Below are 27,968 nucleotides of genomic sequence, written 5' to 3'. Positions count from 1 at the left end.
CATTGGATAAAATATTCTGTGCAACATCTATTAGGTCCATTTGGTCTATAGTCCACCTCCAACCCGATGTTTCATTGTTGATTTTCTGTCTGTATGATCTTTCCAATGCTGAAATGTGGTGTTGAAATCCCCAGCTATTATTTTATTGAGGTCTAGCTCTCTCTTTAGCTCTAATAATATTTGCTTTATATAATCTGTGTGCTCCATTGTTGGGTGCACATGTATTTACAATTGTTATATTCTCTTGCTGAGCTGACCCCTTTATCATTATATTCTGACATTTGCCTCTTTTTATAGTCTTTGTCTTAAAATCTGTTTTGTCCGATATAAATACAGACAACTTTTTTTCTATGTTTGGTTCCATTGGCATGGAATATCTTTTTCCATCCTTCTATTTTTAGTGGATGTATGTCTTTATAGCTGAAATATGTTTCTTGTAGGCAACATAATTTTGGGGCCTTGGTTTTCTTCATCCATTTCTCCTCTTTATGTCTTTTGATTGGAGAGTTTAGTCCATTTTCATTCAATGTTATTATTGATAAATAGGAATTGACTCCTGCCATTTTTTAATTTGTTTTCTGGTTGTTTTGTGATGTTTTCTTCCTTCTTGTCTTTATTTTAATGAAGGATATTTTTATTGTGATAAGCCTTAATTTATTGTTTTATATTTTGTGTATATCTCTGTCTGTCTGGAATTGGTCACTGACATCTTATATAGTTCATTCGGTGAGATCATATTTTCCTGGATGGTCTTGATGCCTGTGGATGTCCATTGTTTTTTTTTCTTGGCATTGAAGAGTTAGATATTGATTGTAATTTTTGCAGTCTTGGATTGTTTATACATGTCCTTGGCAAGTTTTTCCAAGTATTAAAAAGGACTTGGGTGTTGGGACCTTAGTCTTTGGTCACTGTAGCCACGTAGGCATCAGGAAGCACCCCATGCACAAAAATACTGTGGCTCTTTCAGACTTATACAGGTACTGTCTTGGTGCTCTTAGGTAAGATATGGGAAAATGTCCTGGGATATCAGGTGGAAACTCTTGTTCTTTTCCTTTACTTCCCCCCAACCAAACAAAGTGTCTGTCTCTCTGTGCTGAGCTGCCTGGACCTGGGGTATGGGTGACACATGCACCCCTGTGAGCACCAGTATTGGGACTGTGCTGAGTCAGATCCAAAGTCAGCACAACACTTGGTCTTGCCCAAGGCTTAAGGTGGCTACTGCCTGGCTACCACTTATGTTTTCTCAAGGCCCAAGGGCTCTACAATCAGCAGATGGCAAATTCCACCAGGTCTGTGTCCTTCCCTTCAGGGACATGAATTGTCTTCAGCCCTGGTTGGGTCCAGAGATGCCTTCTGATAGACAGAACCTCGTGAAAGGAAGCATGGGAATCTACCTGGTGCTCTATTCTACTGTGGCTGAGCTGGCACGCACACTGTAAGACAAAGTCCTTTCCACTCTTCCTCCCCTTTTCCTCAAGCAGAAGAGTCTCTTCTCATGGCCACCACCATCCCAGGTCTGTGGCAATTACTGCCTGGTTACTGCCAATGTTCACTAAGGGGCCACTGAATCCTGCCTGGTCTGATTCTCTCTCTTCAGGTCAGCAGGCTCTCCTCTCACCTAGGGCAGGCCCAGAAATGCTGTCCAAGAGCCAGGGCCTAGAACTGGGGACCCCATGAACCTACTTGTTTCTCTACATCACTGTGGCTGAGCTAGGAACTAATCTCTAAGACAAAGTCCCCTGCATTCATTCTCTGTTTCTCAACCAGAAGGAGTCTCTCCCCATGGTTCCCACAGATGAGAATGTGCAGGGTCACTCCTGAAGCCAGCATGGCCCTGGGTCTCACTCAAGGCCTGTGGTGAGAACTGCCTGGGTACCACTGATGTTTATTGAAGGCCCAAGGGCTCTTAAGTCTGCAAATGATAAATCTTGCTGGGACTGGATCTTTCCTTTCAAGGCAATGGGTACCCTTCTGGCCCAGGCTGTGTCTAGAAATGTCAACCAGGAGCTAGGGCCTGGAATGGGGGCCTCAAAGACTGTTCCTGATACCCTATTCTTCCGTAGCTATGCTGATGTCCAAGTTTCAATACAAAGTCCTCTTTACTCTCCCCTCTCCTCTCCTTAGGTGGAGGGAAGGAGTCTCTTCCAGAGCTGCAAACTGTGCTGCCTGTGTTTGGGGCAGCGATGATGCAAGCACTCTCTTGGCTGCACTAGCTGGTGTTTCACTAGGTCATCTCCACCGAATATCCACTAACTTCAAGCCCAGCACATCACCAGGACTTGTCCAGGAATTGAAGTCTCTTTGGCCTAGACTGCTTTTTAAATTTATTTAAGACCCCCAAGAACTTTAGCCCATACTGGTAGGTCTTGCCTGAACTCAGGCTCCTACCACTGAAATGGAGAATTTGCCTCTGGCTAGAGAAGCTCCCTCTGTAGGCACTGGCTGAGTTATGCCCTGTGTTGCTTTCTGCTGTGACAGGGCAGTACTGAGTTCCAACGTCAAGTCGCACAATTACTGTTTGCTGCCTCCCCTGAATGCACAGATTTTCTTTCCATACCACTCAGCCATTGCTGGGGGATGAAGGAGGGCTGGTGTAGGTGATTCAAGATTGTCTTTCCCTCTTCAGTGCCTCTTTCCTTAATATAATGTTAAAACCACACACTGCGATTGCACTTCTGATTTTTGGTTCTTCTGGAGGTGTTTTTTTTTGTTCGGATAGTTCTTCAATTTGGTGTTCCTATAGGGAGGACAATTGTTGGAGCCTTCTTTTCATCCATCTTGCCCCACTTTCCTCAGTTATTATATATTATTGGCCTTCCTCAAATAGTAAGGTGTAAAATAGCATATTTTCATACATGGAAGTTATTATATTGAAAAATAGCAAACTTTAATAAGATAGACAGATTTTTAAAAAGGAAAAATGTCTTTGTGGATAGACAAGATGGACAAATTAATGAAAATAAAATTGGTGAAAAACAGCCCTCATGAATAGAAAAATTAAAGGAGTCAAAAGGAAAGAAGGCAAGTTTATTAGTCATTAGAGTCCCTGAAGAAAGAGAAGGAAGACCACATCACCTCCATCTGGAGATATGCGAAAATCTCACGAGGGGGTGACATTTGAACTTGGAACAGGAGGAATGACTACCAATTTTTTAGGTAGAAAAGATGTAGTAGGTAGCATAATGCCTTCTAAAATATATCCATGCCCTGACTTGTAAATATGCTACTGAAAATGAAAAAGGGACTTTGCAAATGGCATTAAATTAAATATCTAAAATGGATATTATCCCACCATATGGGTCTGATGTAATCAAGAACCCCAGAGAGAAGTGAGAGGATCAGCCTCAGAGAAGAAGATGTGACAAAAGAGGCAGAGGTTGAATTGTTGCAGGGCCATGAGCCAAGTAATGCATACATCTTCTAGAAACTGGAAGAGGCAAGAAATTAATTCTCCCCTAGAATCTCAAGAGGAACTGCTGTCCTGCTGACCCATCTCAGACTTCTTCAGAATTGGAAAATAATAATTGGTATTGTTTTTAAGCCACTAAGTTTGTGATAGTTTGTTACAGGTAACAATAGGAAACTAACACAGATGGAGAAAGACATCCGAAGAATCTGAAAAATGCAAAACTTGATGTACAGCCTATTCAGAGAATGAGAGAAAGTTTGAAGTGTTTTGACTCTATGGTATTGCAGAAGAAGGTCTGGAGAAGAGATTTGTATAAATCAAAACAGGAAATGTTACTTAAAGCCAGACAAAGGATCTTGTATGAATTTTATAGCAGATTTCTATCATAGAAAATAATTTTAGCAGTAATGAGCTGCAAACACTGGAGTTATAAGACTAAGAAGATTTTTATATTCTATATAATTTTATTGTAATCTGGTCATATAAGCCCTTCACAAATGCTTAAATTAGATGAATAGAAGAAGATAGGTTTAGTTAACTTTAATAATATTCTCTGCTATACTTTTTCCTTTGCTCATAATGATTCCTCATTTCCTCTTCTTTTATATAAAAATGAGCATAATGAATCATTATAATAAGAGTAGAAGTATACTGTAATTTTTCCTAGGAAGCTTACCGTATGGTACTTGTCTCTTTGTTACTTAATTTAACTTGATCTGTCAAATATCAGACTTGTAAGAGCTCATGTGTCATACTCATTACAGTGTCATATTCTTTTAAGGATCTAATCCCAAAGAGACATGCATCCTCTTGATAAGATAAAAAATATTTTTATATGCCACAACTAAGAAATAAAAACTCAATACACGCTCAAGGAATAAAAGGTATTTTAAAATAGTATTGCAGATTTTTTTTCCTAGTCGATCTTTGTTTTAGAAATTCATCTGGGAAAAAAATGTAGCTAATGACAGATGCATGCAATCAGGTATTTAATTTGCCTACTCATAAAAATGAATAACTTAACAATTTCTCCAATGTAATTTACAAAAGTAAATAACATTGATACAAACATTAATAATCAAAGAAATACAAATAAGCACAATTGGATTACTAAAGTGAACTATTTTAAAAAGTATCTAATTTTAAAAATATCACATTAAAGGCCTTTTCTGCATCCATGAGATAATCATGTGGTTTTTATCTTTGTTTCTGTTAATATGCTGGATTACGTTTATTGATTTGCATATGTTGAACCAGCCTTGCATCCCAGGAAGGTATTGATGGGACGTAACTCAAAATAATAAGAGATATTTATGACAAACCCACAGCGAATATCATACTGAATGGGCAAAAACTGGAAGCATTCCCTTTGAAAACTGGCACAAGACAGGGATGCCCTCTCTCACCACTCCTATTCAACATAGTGTTGGGATTTCTGGCCAGGGCAATCAGGCAAATGAAAGAAATAAAGGGTATTCAATCAGGAAAAGAGGAAATCAAATTGTCCCTGTTTGCAGATGACATGATTGTATATTTAGAAAACCCCATCATCTCAGCCCAAAATCTCCTTAAGCTGATAAGCAACTTCAGCAAAGTCTCAGGATACAAAATCAATGTGCAAAAATCACAAGCATTCTTATACACCAATAACAGACAAACAGAGAGCCAAATCATGAGTGAACTCCCATTCACAATTGCTTCAAAGAGAATAAAATACTTAGGAATCCAACTTACAAGGGATGTGAAGGACCTCTTCAAGGAGAGGTCAACTGCTCAAGAAAATAAAAGAGGACACAAACAAATGGAAGAACATTCCATGCTCATGGATAGGAAGAATCAATATCCTGAAAATGGCCATACAGCCCAAGGTAATTTATAGATTCAATGCCATCCCCATCAAGCTACCAATGACTTTCTTCACAGAATTGGAAAAAACTACTTTAAAGTTCATATGGAATCAAAAAAGAGCCTGCATTGCCAAGACAATCCTAAGCCAAAAGAACAAAGCTGGAGGCATCACACTACCTGACTTCAAACTATACTACAATGCTACAGTAACCAAAACAGCATGGTACTGGTACCAAAACAGATATATAGACCAATGGAACAGAACAGAGCCCTCAGAAATAATGCCGCATATCTACAACCATCTGATCTTTGACGAACCTGACAAAAACCAGCAATGGGGAAAGGATTCCCTATTTAATAAATGGTGCTGGGAAAACTGGCTAGCCATATGTAGAAAGCTGAAACTGGATCCCTTCCTTACACCTTATACACAAATTAATTCAAGATGGATTAAAGACTTAAATGTTAGACCTAAAACCACAAAAACCCTAGAGGAAAACCTAGGCAGTACCATTCAGGACATAGGCATGGGCAAGGACTTCATGTCTAAACCACCAAAAGCAATGGCAACAAAAGCCAAAATTGACAAATGGGATCTAATTAAACTAAAGAGCTTCTGCACAGCAAAAGAAACTATCATCAGAGTGAACAGGCAACCTACAGAATGGGAGAACATTTTTGCAATCTACTCATCTGACAAAGGGCTAATATCCAGAATCTACAAAGAACTCAGGCAAATTTACAAGAAAAAAATAAACAACCCCAACAAAAAGTGGGCAAAGGATATGAACAGACACTTCTCAAAAGAAGACATTTATGCAGCCAACAGACACATGAAAAAATGCTCATCATCACTGGCCATCAGAGAAATGCAAATCAAAACCACAGTGAGGTACCATCTCACACCAGTTAGAATGGCGATTATTAAAAGGTCAGGAAACAACAGGTGCTGGAGAGGATGTGGAGAAATAGGAACACTTTTACACTGTTGGTGGGACGGTAAACTAGTTCAACCATTGTGGAAGTCAGTGTGGCAATTCCTCAAGGATCTAGAACTAGAAATACCATTTGACCCAGCCATCCCATTACTGGGTATATACCCAAAGGATTATAAATCATGCTGCTATAAAGACACATGCACACATATGTTTATTGTGGCACTATTCACAATAGCAAAGAGTTGGAACTAACCCAAATGTCCAACAATGATAGACTGGATTAAGAAAATGTGGCACACATACACCATGGAATACTATGCAGCCACAAAAAAGGATGAGTTCATGTCCTTTGTAGGGACATGGATGAAGCTGGAAACCATCATTCTCACCAAACTATCACAAGAACATAAAACCAAACACCGCATGTTCTCACTTATAGGTGCGAATTGAACAATGAGAATGCTTGGACACAGGAAGGAGAACATCACACACCGGGGCCTGTTGTGGGGTGCGGGGAGTGGGGAGGGAAAGCATTAGGAGATATACCTAATGTAAATGACAAGTTAATGGGTGCAGCACACCAACATGCCACATGTATACATATGTAACAAACCTGCACGTTGTGCACATGTACCCTAGAACTTAAAGTATAATAAAAAACAATCACATTAAAATTAGTATAAATATTTACTTCAAGGGCTTATAAAATGCACAGTTCTGTTAAATAAAATGGCTTTGACTAGCAAGAGTCATAAGCCTTTGTTTTTTATTGATATGAAAATTAATTTATTATTGTAATATTAATAATTCAAATGAATAATTATTTCTTTTCTATATTTTCAAAAAATCACTCAAAAACAAAAGTAAATTATCACAAAAATATTACTCAATAATATGTATCAAGTAAAATTTGAAAATTCGAAGTAATCTAATGTTGAGTGTTAAATCATAATACACAAATACTATGAACTATTATACATGTAATTAAAATAATGATTATGAAGATCAGGTATAAAAATAGAAGTGTCCTACTGTAGTGAAATGAAAATGGCAGATTATTTTGATTACTATGACAAGAAACCTGGCTGTATGTATGGATTTTAGGATGCCAAAATGAAATTCATTCAAGGTGGTAGAATTTTTATTATTATTATTATTTTCTATTACAGATTCAGGAAGAAAATTTTTTAACTAATGAAATTTCATTTAAATCACAAGTGATTATTTTTTTCACTGTGAAATTGAGATTTATCTTGAAAATTCTGGTTTGTAAAACTAAATATTAGTCATTTAAATATACAGAATATTGAAATAAACTTCCATCTTTAATAATCTAAATATATTTTAGACTTAGCCTTAAATTTAGAAACAATCCAAAATATTGAAATAATATCCTGAAATGTTTTTCTATAAAATACACAACTATCCCTGCTTTTAGCATAGCATTATCCTGGTCTTATAACCTGCTTCCCTGAAATCTAGCAAAGAGTTCTTGGTATCCCCACGGCAGGTGACATGGTTTCAGGGGACTCAGAGAGACAGGGTCTCACTCAGTCACCTAGGCTGGAGTAAAATGGTGTGATCAAGGCTCACTGTAGCCTTGACCTTCCAATCTCAAGCAATCCTCCCACTTCAGCCTCTTGAGTAGCTGAGAGTAGAGGCAGGCACTACCACACCCACGTGGTTTTTAAATTTTTTTTTACAGATGGGATCCCACTATGTTGCCCAGGCTGGTCTCCAACTCCTGGGCTCAAATGGTTCTCCTGCTTCAGCCTCCCAAAGTGCTGGAATTACAGGCGTGAGCCACCATGCCTGGCCTTGAATTTAATGTTTTACTTTTATTATGATGTGTACGATTAAATGTTGGCAAAGACGCTTTATCATATTTGGACATTTTTCCTATATTCCAATTTCACTTTTTTTTTAAATATTGGCTGATTTTTGTCAAATATTTTCAGCTCTTAACTATGTGTTTATAACATAACTGATTAATTTGGGTTAACAAGGCACCTGAAACAGGAAATATTTTTATATGAAATGCACAATCCTAGTCTTGTATTTATATCAGCTAAACCTTAGTTGAATATGGTGAATTACATTATTTAAACTCTTTTACCTTCAATTCAGTGTAATTTTACTCATTTTTAATAATTAAACTAATAACTAAAATGTATTTATACAGCATATGTATTATCTTTGTCAACCTGTGACATTAGCCTAATGATGGATTGGTATTTTTCTGTAGGCTGTGAACATTTGCATTGCATTGGACATTTCTGTTCTTTGAAACTTAACTAAAATTCTCAAAAGAATCATAAGGTAGTTATAACTTATTTACTAATGGGCATTTCTAAACAACTTCCTGATGGAGGATATTGTTATTACTGTATGTCTCAGTATTCTACATTTTTAAAAATTAACTATTTTTTGAATATTACCCATTTTCTCTAAATTTCCAAATATTTTAGTCTTTATTCTATTGTGATTATATATCCCTTCTTCTGACAGACATTTCTTTATTTTGGTTGAATTATTCTGTACTTATTAGGTATTTGTCTATTTTATTTATCTATTCAGGTCACTTTTAATTTCAATAGTTAAAAATCCATTAATTTTACTGTTTAGCTGAATTAATTGCATTCTCCTACTTTTATGTTTCATATTTTTGTGCTTCATTTGTTTCAATCTTTTATTTTTCTTGTTAAAAGGAATCCATTATTATTCACATTATCATTGACAACTGTGAGAATCTGCAGAAAAAAACAATATGGAACTACAACTTCACGTTCTTGAGAAAAGCTTGCAGTGTAAGATGCGTTTGTTTGTGGTGCCTGAGGAAGAGAGGTTGGTGAAATTGCACTTGGACTCAGTGAATCGGAAATAGTTTTAACTCTCCAGTGGAACACACTGTGAAGTTGTCAAGTCCCTTGATTTCTCAACGATACCAACTAGTTCAATAAGCAAAGAGAGTATGCTTGTGCCTACTTGTTGCCCAATGAAAGAATCAAATAATTTCACTGATTCCAGCAGCAGAAAAAGAGAGTTGGTAGTGCTGAGCTGCTGAAGGTTCATTACTGCTTAGCCTTGAGAATGGAGGCCCCACTTGGTACTCTTCATAAGAGATGCCCCAACTCGTCAAAGGAATTATGGTAATCTCCTTACTTTCTGTTGCACATTCTTCCCTCTGCTAATCTCAGTACACTCATACTAACTTTCTTGTCTGTTAAGTGATCTCACATGTTTTGAAACCAAGTTCAGATAAACTCACAAGTGGGTTAAGGGGCCAGAATAGTTTAAAAGAAATACAATTACTTCATTATCTCACTTACATGTGAACTTTAAAATGTTGACCTTATAAAAGTAGAGACCAGAATAGTGGTTACCAGAGGCTGGGGGGTAGGGGCATGGGAGGTGTTGATCAAAGGTACAAAATTTCAGTTAGGGAAGAGGAATAAGATTTTGAGATCTACTGTACAGAATGGTGACAATAGTTAATAATAATATATTGTATATTTCAAAATTACTGAAAAAGTAGATTTTAAATGTCCTCACTACAAAAAATGATAAGTATAAGAGGTGATAGATATGTTACTTAGCTTGATATAATCATTAAATGATGAATATATATCAAAACATCAAGTACAATTACTAATCAAGTAATTTAAAAAAAAAATTAAAGGAAAGACAGGCAGAAGGAATTATTATTGCTGTGTTGATGAAACAGAATGAACAAAAGATAAATTTTGTTTCCGGAATTTAAAAATGAGAGTTTCTTAATTTAAAAAATGTGATAATGTAAGACAAGACTTGGAAAGGCAAATAAAGGTAACATTTTACAGAAATAATAAAAAATGCAACGCTATAAAATAACTAATAATATCCCATGAAATACACAGAAAATATTCCAAAAGTTCAAGCAGAACTCAAAGAAACAGATGAGATCAGAGAGAGAGAGAGACAGAGACAGAGAGAGAGAGAGAGAGAAAGAGAATGTTAGAATAGGAGCATAACAGTGAGAAATAAGATCTAATTATTCATGTTATATTTAACTGCTTGCTCAATCTTAGAAAGTGCAATAAAAAATTTCAGAAATGCTAACCTAAATTCTGCAAAAATCTTCCTAACTAGACTTTAATATTTGTTTAAAAGTGTGTTTGTTTTGAGCTTGAAGGTATATAGTCCAAATGTAGTCCTCATGCTTTAGCTGGGTTAGTTCATTAGCCATTTCAGGGTGATCATATTATTTATTTGAATTTAGTTTGGTTCATCTATTTCTGTTTGAATTTTATTTATGGTACCTTTGCCATAATTATTGATTATTTTTGTTCTCTCACACTCTCTCATACGTGAAATATTTACATGGTTCCAATTATCAGAAGCATACCATAATGTATATTCAGAGAACTGACATGTTACCCCCTTCATTCTATTATTTTCACTATGTTCCCATCCACCTCTGCTTTCTGGCTTAGTATTCCCACTTTTGATTTTAGAGGAGCCACCAGAATGTTTTATTATCTCCTCCCATTTTTAAACACAACATAGAGTATAGTTTTTTTATACTTTTATTTTACCTAAAAATAGCCTGCTACATATTATAATTATATATACAATTATAATATAATCATACTCTATTAACTTAAAATTTTCTTTTTTTACAGTTACATAGTACTCTGTGTCTGCATACATTTCTGATTTAGTCAATCTCCTTTGTTTTGACATTTAGCTAATTTTAACTATAATATTTTAAATTATACATTTAATTGGACATTTAGCTAATTTTAAACTATAATATTTTAAATAGTTAAAATAGCTAATTTTAACTATTTAAAATATTATAGTTAAAAATTAGCTAAATGTCCAAACACGAGGGCTCACGCCTGTAATCCCAGCACTTTGGGAGGCCAAGGCAGGTGGATCATGAGGTTAGGAGATCGAGACCATCCTGACTGACATGGTGAAACCCTGTCTCTACTAAAAATACAAAAAATTAGCAGGGCGTGGTGGCACGCGTCTGTAGTCCCAGCTACTCAGGAGGCTGAGTCAGGAGAATCATTTGAACCCAGGAGGTGGAGGCTGCAGTGAGCCAGAGCTCACCACTGCACTCTGGCCTGGGTGACAGAGTGAGACTCTGTCTAAAAAAAAGAAAAGAAAAAAAAAAAGAAAATTATAATTATTGCATACACACACACACACACACACACACACACACACATATATCCTATCTTCTGCTTAAATTTGTGATATCCTATCTTTTGCTTAGATTTGTGGAAGTGAAATTGCTTAGCCGTAAGTTACTATGTAGATTTTTTGGATAAAACCAAAAATCCTTCTTTAGGAATGTGCATTTCCTCAGAAGTTCATGGGAGTGCATTTTCCACATATCCTCACCAAAGAGTGCTGTAACTCCTCCATCAGCCTGTCTGTCTCTCTCTCTCATCTTTCTATCTAAACTTGGCTAAAATGACATAAAAGAAATAATATCTCAGTTTATATTGATAATTCCCTTATAATAAGAAAAGTTAAATAAATGTTCATATGTCTAAGAGCTTTTGACATATTCTTGTGAGTTGTCAGTTTACATCTCTGCCCTTATGTTTCTATCAAATTTTTAGTCTTTTCCTCCCAATTTGTATTAATTAAAAAAGTCTTTTATTGTTAAAATAATGTTGCAAATATTTTCTCCCAGTTTTTCAATTGTATTTTGATGTTTCTATATGGTGTTTTTGCTTTGCAAAGTTTTTCTTTCTCTTTTTTTTTTTTTTTTGGATGTAGTCAAATGTTCCACTAATTTTTTTCATTACCTCTGAAATTTTATTCAGACTTAGAAGAATTTTACCTACATAGGGTTATATAGAAATTCATCTCTGTTTTATCTCATCCTGAAATGTTTTGATTTCTTTAAAAAAGTAAATACTACATTTATTTTAATTATTATTTTATATAATGTGAGAAGGGATTTAATTATGTCTTTTTCAAAATGGCAAACTGATTGATTGATTGATCCCAGAGCTATGCATTACAAATCTCCTCATCACCTCAGTGTTTTAAGATTCTACCTTTATCATAAACTAAAGTTTATTTTTTACTTGCATTTATTTCTATTATATAACTACTTCTTTATCCTATTTCACTGTATGTCTGCATGCACCAATGCACAGTTTTAATTGTAAGGTTTTTATATAGTATGTTTAGTATCGGGTAAAGCTAATTTCTTCCCCTATACTACAGCTTTCTTTTTAGTATTTCCAAGTTAATTTTGTATATTTACTTGTGTATTTTTGTACATTTTGTATACTTTTATATGTTTATATTTCTTTTGTATATTTTTTATATTTATTTTGTATGTTTATTTTTACATGTAATTTCAGTATCAACTTGTCTAATTATGTAAAGAAACTTATTAACATAGAGATTGCAGCCAAATTATAAATTAACTTATAGGGAGCTAAGCTGTATTCTATAAAGTTTAAGCACCTCACACAAAAGTAAAAGACTTCTTCCCATTTTAATAATTTTAATTTTATATTTTTCAGGCCTTTTAAATTTTTTTCATGTAGATTTTACACATTTCTTCTTACACTTATCTCTTAGTATTTTATAGTTATTGTTGAATATTGATTTTATGTGTTATTATGTTACCTGTGTAACTATGTTACCTGTGTTACCTGTGTTATGTTACCTGTGTAACTATGTTACATGTGTTACTTGTGTATATGTATTAGATATGCTATTTTAATGTTTACTGTACTGTTGAATTGTTTTATTTTAATTTAGTTTTATTACTGAATCTCTACGGTTTTCTAGTTACAAAACCTTATCATCTACAAATATAAATAGCTTTCCTTTTTGTTTCTGATTCTTATGTCTCTAAATGATTCATTTTGTCTAACTGAATTGGCTAACCTCTACTATTAAGTTGAACATTAGTAAGAAGAGTGCAATACATTCTTTAAAATCTTATTGGAAATACAAGTAGTGTTTCTGAATTAAGTAAAATACTGATTCTAGGACTAAGATTATATAAAATTCCCATATCATGTTAAGAAAGTAAACATCAATTAACAATTTTGTACTTTTTTTCATCTCTCAGGAATAAATCATACATTTTGTAAAGGACTTTCCATCTTCTGTAGAGGAAAAATAGCTGGTTTTTACTTTTAGATGTATGAATATGGTGTGCAGAAAGAGTTAACATATAGCAGACCTGATTTCTATCCTTCGAAAGGCCTGATTAAAAGATTAGGCTTGGCTGATGCTGAGAACTTAGATTTTGGAAGGATTACCATCACTCTGATGGGTAAGAATGGCTCACTGTGCCTAAACTGCTTGTACAAAAAATGTAGTTTATGCTAACCTTTTTCTTTCCTTCTAGGAGTCTGGAATTTTGATAGGTGCTAGGCAGAAGGTGCCTCCTGACTATCCCCTAATAGAAACCCTAGGCACTAAATCCCTAATGAGCTTCCCTGGTGGACAGCATTTCATGTATGTTGTCCAAAGTTGTTGCTGAGGGAATTAAGCACAGCCCATATGATTCCACAGGGAAAGGACTCCTAGAAACTTTCATACTTGTTTTTCACTGGACATTGCCGCATATGCCTTTTCCCTTTACTTATATGCTTTGCATCCTTTTACTGTAATATATGATAGCCATGAATAAGACTATGAGTCCTCCTAGCAAATCATCAAACCAGAAGATTCATATGGTTTTTATATCAATGAATTTCCTAATATTGTATCAATATCATATTCCCAGAATAAATCACACTTGATCAAAATGTATCAGTTTCTTAATGATGTGTTATATTGTTACTAATATTTTTACATTTCAATCAATATTAATAACTGATATTTGTCTATAATTTTCTTTTCTAACTGTATTAGGTTTAGGTATAAATGTCATACTTACTTTACAAAAAGTATTAGATTTTCCTTAATTTTTTGAAATTTTCTTTTTTATAAGGTGCAAAAATTTTCAAAATCATTGGGACTATCCAGGCTTTGAAATTTTGATACAAGTCTTCCTTGAAATCATCTGGGCTTAATGATTGATTTTGAGGAAGTGTCTTGATAAATTTTTCTTTTCCTGATAGAGAAATTAGCTTATTTAAATTTTTTACATATAGTAGGGCCTATTTGGGCAAATTATATTTCTGTAGGAAATTATCATTATATCTTTCAAATATATAACAGAGAGATTGTAGGATTTTTTAAATGCATCATATGTCATGTCAATGGTTACTTCCTCCTTGTCCTTTTATTATACATATACCTCAGTTAAGGTAGCTAGTAATTGGTCTCTCTTGAAAATTTTTTACCAAAAAATATTATTTTTATTTAGTAATTATGTGTTTCTCAATTTAGATAAATTGATAAAGCAAATATTGTTTATTTTTTGCTTTATTGTTCCTTTATTTTTTCTGTTTGTTTTTCTTATCTTGTTTAACATGAAAATTTCATTCATTTATAATTTGTATTTTTATTAATAAAAGGGTTTAGGGCTATAAAACTTTTTCTGGCTACATTCTTGAATGTATTACAGGTGTCCTGATATAGAATACCTCCATTATCCATGATTTTTATTAAAAAACACTTTTGGATTGTATTTTACCTTTAACCCAAGAGTTTAATTTAAAAAGGGAAAGAAAAATGATAGAAGTAGGCCAGGCACAGTGGCTCACACCTGGAATTCCAGCACTTTGGAAGCTGAGGCAAGAGGATACTTGAGCACAGGAGTTACAAACTGCCCTGGGCAACATAGTGAGACTCTGTTTCCACAAACCAGTTTTAAAAGTTAGCCAACTAATTTGGAAAGATGGCTTGAGCCTGAGAGGTCAAGGCTATAGTGAGCCATGACTGTGCCACTGCACTGCAGCCTAGAAGACAGAGTGAGACCCTATCTTAAAAAATCATAGAAGTAATAATATCATAATTATACACAATTAAACTACATTGCAAATACCAAAAATTTTACTTGTTTTAAATTTCTACACTAATCATGTACAGCTGTAACAGTTGTACAGTAAACAGCTGTATATAGCCTTCACTTCTCACTAGACATCTTATCAAAAAAGAACTTAAAATTTATGGGAAAACCTTGCACTTTGTGTTAGAAACTTAGTTTCTTGGCTTTCTTATTCCTATCTGATGGAGGGCAAAGAACTTCACTAGTTTGCAGGCTACGCAGAGACAAATTAGAAAAGAAACATAAAACAGAAATATTTTGTGTATAGCACATTGCCCAAAGATGAGATAAATTGGTCTAAAAATGATATGGTGCAATGGAGACATTTAAGAGCTTGTTAGCAATTCCTACAGGTCCCAAGAGGTTCAAACAGTTCAGAAACAGAACAGAACATGATTCAGTATATTTTCAGAGAATTCAAAAGTTTTTGTAAAGCTCACTCAGGAAATCTTCAGGGAAAAACAAACTTTGCTCCTCTTTTTATTTGGTAACTTTCTATATTCTCAGAATAAGCTTGAAAACCATTTTACGTTGGCTCCAATATCCCACAAATCTGGCAACAGTGACAGGAGTCATGTCATTCTGACAGTTGGACCTGACTAAACTAAGTTAGTGGCCACCAGTGTCTGTCAATTTTAATGATGGTAGGCAGATTTCCCAAAGTGGTAATCACTCTGAACGTGGTTTATTTTTTATTTTTTTAAAAATTAATTAATTAATCAATTAATTTTTGCCTGTTTTTGGCACTTCTAGCAAGTATTCTCTTAGTATTCTTTGTATTCCTACTCTTCCTCTTTGCAAATTGCCTATATGCAATCATCAAGTATTTTAATGATAATTCCTGTCTTTATTTCCGTTACTCTATTCTCTCCTTGTCAGTGACTTTCCTTCCAATATCACGCACTTACTCCATACAGACCGTTTCAAAACTTTTCCATTCTCCATTCCCTCCAGCTTCCCTTCAGTAATTGGTCAGTTAATAAGCCTTTCTGATCAAGTCACCATCTCTCACTGGAATTGTTGCAATAGTCTCTTGACTGGCCTTTCTGATTTTTGCCCTTGCCCTCTACAGTTTATTCCTAACAAGACAACTAGTGTGACAAAGCAATCAATCAATCAGTCAATATTGTCCTTCCTATGATGAAATGCTTCTATTCCAATGGCTTCTGTTGTCTCTAAGAGTTAAAGAGAAATTATTAAAATAGCTATTAATGCCCACATTCTAGTCCTTTAATATATTATATTAATATATTATATATTAAATGTTATATATATAATTAATTATATATAATATAATTATATGTATTATTTATATATTAATATAAATTAATATAATATAATTATATATTATATTAATATAATTATATATTAAATATATTATATTAAATATTAAATATATTATATTATATTGATTATATAATTATTATAAATTAATTATATATAATTATTATAAATTAATTATATATAATTATTATAAATTAATTATATATAATTATTATAAATTAATTATATATAATTATTATAAATTAATTATATATAATATAATTATATATATAAAGTCCTTATATATTAAATATTATATATTTATAATATTATATATATAATATTTATATTTCCCTCATCCTTTATAGCATTTCACACTACCTGTGGCTTCACTGGAGTTATTGCATTGAATTTGCTGCCTTTTACTTAAGTCAAACTTTTTGCTCACAGTGAAAGGAATAGAGAAAGATGTAGGGAGACCCCCTGAAACTATTGCTACAGAATAAAAGATGAAATGCTCCTAATTATTGTAAATACAAAATTGCATGCAGTATTGTGTAAAGACAATGCCAGGTTGGACTGCCAGAATGAGCCAACAGCGCGTGACGTGCTTCCCCCTGCAGAGAGCCTATGAATGGACGTGCGGTCAGGGAGGTTTCACATCACCAAGATTCCTATCCCAGAAAAGCAGATGTTCATAGCTCTAGGAATGGAATGCGACCCTTGTGGAGAGCCTATAAACGGATGCATGGGGCGGGGGGGTGCCTGTCCATATGGATAAGATAGGGCTATAAACGTCCTCATCTTGCCATGGCTCTTCTACACCTCTTTAGGGTTAAGGCATACTCCTTTCTGAGAATTTCTCGTCTAACCAGTTGTCTATCTTCACGTCCTATTTCCATGGATTGTTTGTAACCAGCTTTTGTTGCAACTGTTACTGCTGATTAATATCTTGCTAATCATAGGTTATGGAAAGATTGTGTTTCTGTTTTAAGGCTCTGTTAGAAATTACTAACACACACACTATATTGTAAATTCTTATCTCTGTATACTGTACTTCTCCATACAAATGTACTGTACTTCTATATACAAATGTTATGTTAAAGAATTACTTCATCCCCATGTGACCATCTCACCTCATAATCAAATGACCCTAAATCCCTCACTAACCTACCCCTGCCCTCACTAAACTTAATAATAAATGCTGGTATATCCAGTGCATTGTTGGCACCGTGGGACCAGAAGGTAGTGACCCCCCTGGACCCAGCTTTCACTATCTTGTGTGTGTCTATTATTTCTCAACCTGCCGATCCGCCTAAGAACAAAGAGAGAGCCCCGTTGCATTGCAGGCTGCTGGCCAGATCCCACAATACATACACAGATTCCAAAATGCATTCTTAACTCTTAAAAGATTTTGGTTACTTATCACTATTCTGTCTACTTTTCTGTAATTGAGAAAAGTATTTGTCAACTCATTTTTTCTCTCTGTGACAGCTCAGTCATTTACAAAGTTTTATTTTATACTTTACTCCTTCCTTCAATTTGTGCTAAAACATTGTGAAAATTAACATTTCTTTGGAACACAACTTTTTCATTATAAATTAAATACTGATATAATTGCAAAGTAAACAAATGAATTTCCATAAAGCTAATTTATCTTTATATTTTCCATACTTATTACTTCAAATTCTTGTTACATTTTCAATTTTGTTTGAAATATCATATGGTATTTTAAATTGAAATTTACTAATTATTTTTTAGCCAGTGGATAAAGAGAAATTAAAAATTTGAACAAATTAATTCAATTTTTACTTCACTTCTCATTTGAAGGTCTTCCCAGTAACCTACCAAAAGAAGTCTCTCTCTTTTTTTTTTTTTTTTTTAGCTTAGATTCTAATCTTCATTCTGCCTATTCTGGCTAAACTTCTCAACTCTGGCTATTTTTCAATTATACCCCAATCCCTAAGCCATGTAACTCTTCGAGGTTTTTGTTTGTTTTTTCAACTGCTCATTAAGACGTCCTACACCTTAGCAAAAAGATCACACATATTTCTTCAATGCTTTGGAGCCATAGTCATGTACTCAAAATTTATTTTATCTCTACTCCCACCCTTCCTCCACCCAAACTTATCCTTGGGTTTTCACTGATTAGTGCTTTCAAGCCTGCCTGCCTTAGTTCATGTAGCTCCTCCTCTGGTACTGGGATAAACACTTGTATTACCATTTTAAAGGCTATCATTACTCTTTACCTGTGAAGAGTAGAACATGAAGAAATCTACTTTATTCAGATATTCTCCAGATTCCTAAAGATTAGAGATCATTTCTCATTCTCCTAGGAGTACTCACTTCAGGAAGCAACCAGATAAAAGGTAAGGTACAAATACTCTTTCTAATTGTTTGTATTTTACAAATCTAATCTTATGAATATATTTGTCTTGACTAGAAGTTTGCAATCAAATTTAATTAGAATTAAGAATTTCTTTGGTTTCATCTCAGTAAAAAAAATTAGTGTAAATAGGGGGAGAAAAATAAGATTTTTTTGCCGCATTTTTTAGTTAACTTCTAAGATAAAAACTTTGAAATAACTCCCTACTTACTTCCTTTCTTAAGAGTTCCAAAGCCATTATATTCACATTTAAATCCTATTATTCGATAAATGTGTATGTGTAAATATTATATGTATGTGTGCATATATCTATGTATCAGATACATATATATGACATTGTACGCCAAGCCATGTTTCTGTTTGAAGACTGTATGTTTATGTATGGTTACAGGAATATTTTTACTTCATGTACTTTTTTAGAGCTGAATCATTTCCTTTCTATGAAAAAGCATGGTTAACACTTAAGAACAAGGCAGAAAGCATTTCCTTTAAATATTTAAACTACTTGTTCTAAAAATAATCTATTGAAGAATTATTTCTACCCCACCCAATCATTTAAACTAAGAAACAAGACTAACAATTTAGAGAGATTATTAATTATTTAATTTCTATTTGGAAAAGACTATCATAACTTTGATTCAATATTCTACTTGCATAGGAAATGATTACTATGCAAACTTGATTTTGATTTAATTAATGTAGGATTTTTAGATTTGAGCTACTCGATTCTGATACGATTCTTTGTTTTCATTTTCAAAGCCTTAGTATCCTCAATGCTTATCAAGTTTCATAATGAAACTTAGTAATGATAAATGTTTCATTTTATAAAGTTCATTTCAAATGTCTAAGGTTTTATCATCATCTCACTGTTTATCTTTAGAAATATCTCGAGTGTCATGTTGCTTGAAAAGAAGTTAAATAAGTATATATCAGATTTACTTTATGCAAATATTTCTTTCAGCCAAAAGTCTTTCTATCCTGGTCAAACTTACAATCATGACAATTATTTTCTTTGTATCTCAAAATTAAAAGTTTACTATTATATTACCAATAAAGATAGAGGCAACTAAATAAAGATACTTAATTAGTACCAGCTAGTTAGTTGAAAGAATGTGTCATAATAAATGCCCAGATTTTCTCAAAATCCAGAATGTCAAACCCTGTATTAGGATATGGAAGTTAAGATCTCAGAGATATGATTTCTTTGTGCTTATTTTTTTCTATCAAAACTAGTTTATAGTTGTAATTATTTTCTTTTCTTTCAGAAATATGATTAATGAGGTAGAAAAAAGAACGGTAGTTTAGAAATATCTCAGGCAGCTCCGACCAATAGAACCTTCTGTGATGAGGAAAACACTCTAAATCTGTCCAATTGGGTTACCATTAGCTACATGTGGCAATGGGACATCTGAAATGTGATACAGCACTTGAGAAACTAAATTTGCAATTTTATGTAATATTAATTAATTTAAATTTATACATGGCATGTGTTAGTGGCTACATTAAACAGTTTATGTCTAAGTTATTAAAATTATTAAATCTTTTCATTTACAAATACTTTTGATTTGAAGAAAAGTGGCTTTACAAATAAAGATCAGCAGATGAGTGCTAATTAGGAATGACTGTTGTCCTAATATGTACCCTTTTCTACCATCATAAAAAATCAACAAAGTCCTATTTTTCACATGGCACAGGATGTCATCTTTATACAATCCAAGAAAAACAATGGTTTAGATTGTTCTAAAAAGATAAGCAATAACTAATTATACATATGAATTAAATAAGTAAATTATTAATTTTATATATATATATTTTTTGAGACAGAGTTTCTCTCTTGTTGCTCAGGCTGCGGTGCAATGGCTCAATCTCGGCTCTCCACAACCTCTGCCTCCTGGGTTCAAACTATTCTCCTACCTCCGCCTCCCGAGTAGCTGGGATTACAGGCATGCACCACCATGCCTGGCTAATGTTGTATTTTGAGTAGAGACGGGGTTTATCCATGTTGGTCAGGCTGGTCTTGAACTCCAGACCTCAGGTGATCTGCCAGCCTCGGCCTCCCAAAGTGCTGGGATTATAGGTGTGAGCCACCGTGCCCGGCCAATGTATATTCTTTACAAGCAAAAAAATAAGGAAATACTGAGGTGAAAAGAAAAAAGATGCTATTGAAATTTCATACTTAAATTCAAATCCATCAGGGAATAGTCTATGGGGAGAATGAAGCTTCAAGAGTTGAAAGAGTATGAATCAGAAATGATTTAGAAAAAGGATATTCCAGGCGTAATGTGTATCTTTTTACAGAAAGGTAGATGTATGTTTAGTTGACAAATTACATTTTCCTAAGAAGACAGTGGATTTATCTGAGTAGTAACAAAAGGAGGAAATAAAACAGTTGAGGATTTTAGAAATTGATTCTTCATCCTATTCTGATTTCTGAGTCTTCAGGTGATTCTTTCAAATATATATTAGAAAATTAAAAGGACTTTTAAACCTGGTTGTTTTGAAGTCTCTCAGAGCTGTAGAGATGTATTCAGATAAATGTTTTTCCATGAGTGCTACTCTGATCCAGGCTCTACCCTAAAAGGAAGAAGAAAGAATCAAATATAAAAAAAATTAAAAAAATATTTTGCCACTGTGCCATCAAAAATATTTTAATATGTAAAGAACAGCCATTCAAAATATACATTTGATAACGACTAAGAAAAATGTTTAAGTAGATAAAAATAGGTAAATTTTGATTATCTAGAGTATATATTTTGTTTCTCTGAATATGTAGGGTACAGCATGTCAAACTAACTTTCTATCCTCTGAAGGGACAGAACGTTAATACTGAGTTACTTGGGTTAGAGACTTCTTTTGAATTACATGATGTAATTATATAAGATATAACTCTCTACTTCAATACCGCAAATCAACAAACTAATTAAAATGAGCCCTCTCATAAATCATGAAAAACAGAGTTCTCTCTCATTAATGAAAATAATCAGTCTAACATCACTTATTTAAGAAAATTTTCAATCCTATCCTTTCAGTGGGAGGTTTTATACAACTAGTAATAAAATCCAAATTTCATTATATATAATGAATCCAAATCATGAGCTATTGAATTTGGGTGTCCCCAGAGAATTCTAAAAGCTATTACCAAATATTTAAACTAGAAAAACAAACAACAACAACAAAAAACAGAAGCCAGCATATTCTAGCACAGAATCACAGAAACAGACAATTCTTACTAAAAGTAATTAATTTTCTTACGGACTTTCTATTTAGAACTAAAGAATATAAGAGATCATATTTGTAGTAAGAACTTCATAAATCAATTATTTTCATTTTCACTCAACTCTTTCACAAATCTCTAAAAAACTTCATGAAGACTAAATACATAGAAAATTGAAACACTGCAATGGCAGTATAAAGGTGACACTAATCAATATATATGATTGTCAACTACCAGAAAGGGAAAAAACATACTCTAGAAATGTCTGCAAGTCTAGTGAATTCACCAAACTATGGGATAGGAAAGGTCACAAAGGAGTCAATATAGGCAGTAGTTAAAACCTGTCAGGCTAGAAGCAGCAGTACTACTGGGAAGAAAATGAATGATAAGGGTATGGTTAGCATGCGAGTCAATTTACCTACCAAGCTCAACATCCCTTTTAGCTTGCCCTGTGCTCAGTCCATTGTTCCTTCTGAGTAAGCCTAGGGGAACCTGCAGTTAGCTGTAGCTGATTGGAACAGAGGAAGGAAGAGGCAAGCTACTGGCTGGCCAGTAGTCTCAAAATTCTCTCTTGAAATTTCATCTAAAAGACACAGAAACTAGTAGCGGTGTCTTGAATCAAAAGGCTACAATTTCACCAATGAAGTCAAGAAAGTTGCTCTCCAGAGACAATTCAGCACAGGAGACTATGCTGTTACTAGATAAGAAATGTAGGGAAAATCTTGCTTCCTGATTTATTAATTTCAATCCATACAAAACTGGGCTGCATTTAGTTTCCTGTATTTGAATGTGTATGGAATCCTGTTATATTATAAGGATAAGTTGTGCTAATTTTAATGGTTTCTTTTCTTTAACAAAGGAACTTTTAATAGAACAGAAGACAAACAGACTTATAAAGATTGTTTGGGCCAAGAAGTAGAACAACTTAAAAACTAGATTAAGGAATTTAGATGTTTTCAGTTGATAAGGGTGATCCATAAAATGAAGGTTTATGAAAAAATAAGTAAAAGTAATCAAGATTTAAAAATGTAATTAATATGTGCTAAGCCCTGTTTTAGAGCTTTATATACATTAAGAAGATAAGTAATCCTCCCAATAATTGTGTGAGTTAGGTTACAATACTATCCCTACTTTATGCACAAATGAAAAACAGACACAATTAGAAGAGAAGAAATTCATTTTACCACCACCAAACTGACCAGCCTAATTATGTTAATACCTATACACTCCACCTTCTTTCCTGTTTCAGGGAATGAGCTGTCAGCATTTAAGAGAGTTTAAAAAAAGAAAAAAAAGCACAGAGTGGGAAAATTAAAATTAAATTATAAATATCTGACAGACAACTCTTATCCATAAAATACAATTAACTCTTAAAAACCCATAAGAAGAAAACAATTTAAAAATGGGCTTGCAATGGGATGATTTTTAACTATAGATTACATTTCTTTAGCAAAAATATCACATATCCAGATATTTCCATCCTTTTCGTGTTAGTTTTGGTGAGTAATTTTTTAAAAGAAATTTCCCATTTCTTCTAAATTTTCAAATTTATATAATAGATGTGAAGTTATTCATAATATCCTCTTTTAGGATTTTTAATGTCTGTGAGATATACACACTTGGCCTCTTCTTCATTCCTCATATCGGTAATTTATATTATCTTTTGATCTTCTTGAATAGTCTTGCTAGAAGCTTATCAACTGCATTAATCTTTTTAAAAACACTTTTAGTTTGGTTGATTTTCTTATATATTTGTTTCAATTTTATTGAATTTTTACTGTTATTTCTTTCCTTCTACTTTGACTTTAATGTATTTCTTTTTTCATAGCTTCTTGAGATGAAAGTTTTGGTAACCAATTTCCAGCCTCTATTCTTTTTTAAAATACACAAAAGCCTATTTAAGCCTATTCCTCTAAGCACAAGTTTTTATATGTTATATTTTCATTATCAGTACTTTCCAAATATTTTTCAATTTCAATTGTGATTTATTTTTTCATCCATGGGTTATTTAGAAGTTCTCCTCAGTTTCACTCATATAAACATTTTCTAGTCATTTTTCCATATTTTTGATTCTAGCTTAATTCCACTGTGGTTAGAGAACATACTTTACACAATTTCAATCCTCTGCAATTCACTGAGATAAACTATGGCTCAGAAAATGGTCAATTTAATATAACTCCACTGGGTGTATGATAAGAATGTATATTTTGCAGTATTTATTTTATTTTATTTTATTTATTTATTTTATTTTATTTTATGACAGGGTCTTGCTCTATCACCCAGGCTGGAGTGCAGTGGTGCGATCTAAGCTCACTGCAACCTCTGCCTCACAAGCTCAAGTGACCCTCCCACCTCAGCCTCCTGAGTAGCTGGGGCTACAGGTGCGTGCCACCACACCTGGCTAATTTTTGTATTTTTTGTGGAGACTGGGTTTCGCCATGTTGCCCAGAATGGTCTTGAAATCCTGAGCTCAAGTGATCTGCTCACCTTGGTCTCCCAAAGTGCTGGGATTAAAGGCCATCACACCCGGCCTTTGAATTTTAACATATTCCAATAATCTAGTAATTTTATGTATTTCAGTTGTCTAGTAATATTCATATTTATTTCCATTTTCTTGAACCTATTATAATTGCTTAAAAGTCCAAAGTCTCTATCACCCATAGGTTTGTTTCAATTGTCTTTTTCATTTTTCTTGATTTCAGTCATTCAATCTTGTTTCTTGATGTGCCTGATGATTTTTTACTGTATACTAGACATTCTGTATGAAAATTTATAGCAACTCTGAGGCTACCTTTCTCCAGAGTAGATTTTTCTTTTGGCAGTCAGTCAGAGTACTAGAAAATCACCTCACAATTTAGGGGACTACTTTTAGGCCTTTTTTTGTATTAATCTTCTGAATTTCCCTTACTCCAAAGATATTGTCTTTCAGGGGTCTCAAGTAAAAACCTGGAGTGTTTACAGTTCCCCTTCACCTTGCTTGCCCTTGAACTCTAACCTCTATCTCTCCAGAACTAGACTGTGAAATCATCAATCAGCAGTTTTACCTCTTCCCTGCTGCTTTCAGCTTTGTTTATGGGACTTTGCTTTGAGCTACAGATGACTTAGAGTTGGCAACAACCCCATAGGAAAACTGCATGCACAACTCCAGGCACATTTGTCTGTTGTTCAGTGGCAGTTCCAAGCTCCAACTTCTGTTTGTCTGCCCAAGGAAATAAAAATCTCCACCTCCACAACTTTCTGCTTAGTCTCTATACCTAGGATGTGAATAGACAAACAACTTTAGGCTAAAGCAAAGATGGATGTGCGGCTCAGCTCGTGTAATATCCATCTCTCCAGGACTGTGGCCACTCAAGTTCTCATGCCTTGGTTGCTCCCTTATATCTTAAATTTGTTACTTCACATATTTTATTCAACTTTTATAGTTGTTCTCAGCAGTAGGTCCCTCTGATACAAGATATTCTGTTATCACTGGAACCTGATTGTTTTCTTACCTTTGGGATCGACTCTGTTTTAGATTCCAATTACACCCTTCTCAATAAATTCTCTGCTTCTACTCCTCCCTTCAATTTATTATCCCTACAGCACCAAGCTGATCTTATAAAATGGAAATCAGATTACAGTATTCTATCACTTAAAAAAAAAACTCTCAAGTAGCTCCCCCACTGCACTGAGAATAATATCTGACTTTTAATCATGGCCATATCTTGTATTCTTCAGCTTGCTTAGCCTGGTCAGTATTTGCACAGCAAATTTATTGGATGGAAAGATGCATGGATATGTGGATGGCTGATGTAACTAGCATATTCTGAAACTGGTCTAATTAAACAATGAAGGAATGTACAGGATAAGCAACCAGAAACCTAAGAAAGCCAAATCTAGCTAAAAACAAGAACTGCTATTAAAAACAAAGAAAATGGGGGGACAATCCCTCACAAAATATACAAGAAGACAGGAAGAACTCAGGAACAATACAAAGCTCATATTTTGGGGCCAAGAAAATGAAAAAGCAAGAAGGAGAAGGGATTTCTTGAACTTGAAATCAGTTGGAATATCATGAAAACCCAATGTAAATATCTGCAAGGTTAGTAACAGTGGTAACTAAAGATTCAATTGGGAGTGGTTTTTTTCAGGGATCATATAATATGTTTATAAGAGCATATGACCCAAGAGCAGATGCGGAAGATGGGTGAGTTCAGAAAAGAATGAGATAAGTCAGTGCCTGCTGAGATAAAGTCATTTTTCTAAGAGTGCTGATTCTAGTGTGAAACCTAAGTAATTTATGTAATAAAAGTCTCATGTTCCATAACACCTGCATATGACAGAAATAATAGCTGCAAAAGTACTGAAGACACAAAGATTACAAACATGATCCTCAACTCAAATATTTTATTCTATTGTTAGGCTATGTTTAAGTCTTATGGCTAAACTAGTCACAGACAGCAGAGAAAGGGAATGGTTAGCATTTCATTGTTTTTTTTTGTTGTTGTTGTTTTGTTTGTTTTCTTAGATGGAGTCTCGCTCTGTTGCCCAGGCTGCAGTGCAATGGCATGATCTCGGCTCACTGCAACCTCTGCCTCCTGGGTTCAAGCGATTCTCCTGCCTCAGCCTCCCAAGTAGCTGGGATTACAGGCATGCGCTACCACTCCTGGCTAATTTTTCATATTTTAAGTAGAGACAGGGTTTTGCCATGTTAGCCAGGCTAGTCTGGAACTGCTGACCTCAGGTGATCCACCTGCCTCAGCCTCCCAAAGTGTTGGGATTACAGGCATGAGCCACCACGCCTGGCCCATTGATCTTAACCTAGACAAAAGTATGAGATTGTCCATGGTGACAAGCTTCTACAATATGAATCTAAGTGGTATCAGGACAGATAATTGTGATATAATTGTGATACAAGTGTACTTGTATACTGTATACTGTTCACCAGGCAAATTTAGTGCTTCTGGTCTGAAATATCTTTTCACATGTGTCAAGGCAAAATGACACTATGCTAGTAGTCATTCAAGATTGCAGCTGTAAGCCTCAATAAACCTACCATCTGAGGCATTTGTTTAATCCTTCAATCCAGAGACGTGAGATGTGACTTACTGAGTAGATTAAGTAAACTGCTCTTTTCATTGCAATGAATAAAGAGAGGTAATCTTTCTCCACAGACTCTTCCCAGCATAACTAGGCAACTCAAATAATTCTCTTTCCCCACTAAATGGAATCTGTTTGAGGCCTGAGCAAAACAAAGATATAAATGCAGGATTTGGAACATGATTGTTCTGTGGTGTTTTGATTCTCAATACCAGTACTTCACAGAATAAATATTAACTCTCTGCTAGATAACATATTGCTGTGCAGGGATTAGTTCCAAGAGCCTTGTTAAGAGAGTTGGTCAGCTAGGGTTTGGGTTTCTTTGGTCCACCCAGGTCCAAATGCTACATTTCTAAACTTTGTTAACTTCTTAATTACTTTTTGTATTTTGGGATATGCTAGTTTTATAAATATATCCTCCCCTCTATTGAAAGGGTTTAGAATACACTGTTATGTTCCTCTCTCCTACTTTTGATTTGAAAATGAGAATGTTTATGTAGCATCTAGAATACTTTTTATAGATTTGATTCATTCAAATTACAGCTAATCTTTAACCTTAGCCTAAACCTTAGCCAAAAGAAATGTAGATATAATTCTTAAGCCATAAAGAAAACATAAAAGGAAAACTGAGGCTGGGTGCTGTGGCTCATGCCTATAATCCCAGCACTTTGCGAGGCTGAGGCAGGCGGATCACTTGAACTCAGGAGTTCGAGACCAGCCTGGCCAATATGGTGAAACCCTGTATCTACTAAAAATACAAAAATTAGCCAGGTGTGGTGGCACATGCCTGTAGTCCCAGCTACTCAGGAGGTTGAGGCAGGAGAATTGCTTGAGCCTGGGAGGTGGAGGTTGCAGTGAGCTGAGAT

General features: G+C 34.2%; 2 protein-coding genes across 11 annotated transcripts in view; one reads left to right on the top strand and one right to left on the bottom strand.

Moving 5' to 3' along the window:
* The window catches only part of RUNDC3B (RUN domain containing 3B), a 203,899-nt gene that overhangs the window by 100,344 nt on the left and 75,587 nt on the right, over window positions 1–27,968 (bottom strand). For all 8 annotated transcript variants that reach the window (NM_001394228.1, NM_138290.3, NM_001394224.1 and 5 more), the window contains one exon: window positions 21,298–21,383. In NM_001394228.1, coding sequence (NP_001381157.1) covers window positions 21,298–21,383 — 86 coding nt within the window. The remainder of the gene's footprint in view (window positions 1–21,297; window positions 21,384–27,968) is intronic.
* The window catches only part of ABCB1 (ATP binding cassette subfamily B member 1), a 210,279-nt gene continuing 200,968 nt past the window's right edge, over window positions 18,658–27,968 (top strand). For all 3 annotated transcript variants that reach the window (NM_001348944.2, NM_000927.5, NM_001348945.2), the window contains exon 1: window positions 18,658–18,792. The gene's annotated coding sequence lies outside the window, so the exon portion shown is untranslated. The remainder of the gene's footprint in view (window positions 18,793–27,968) is intronic.

This window comes from Homo sapiens, chromosome 7 (genome assembly GCF_000001405.40).
Source record: "Homo sapiens chromosome 7, GRCh38.p14 Primary Assembly".
NCBI lineage: Eukaryota > Metazoa > Chordata > Mammalia > Primates > Hominidae > Homo > Homo sapiens.
This window is presented reverse-complemented; position numbering and strand designations above follow the sequence as displayed.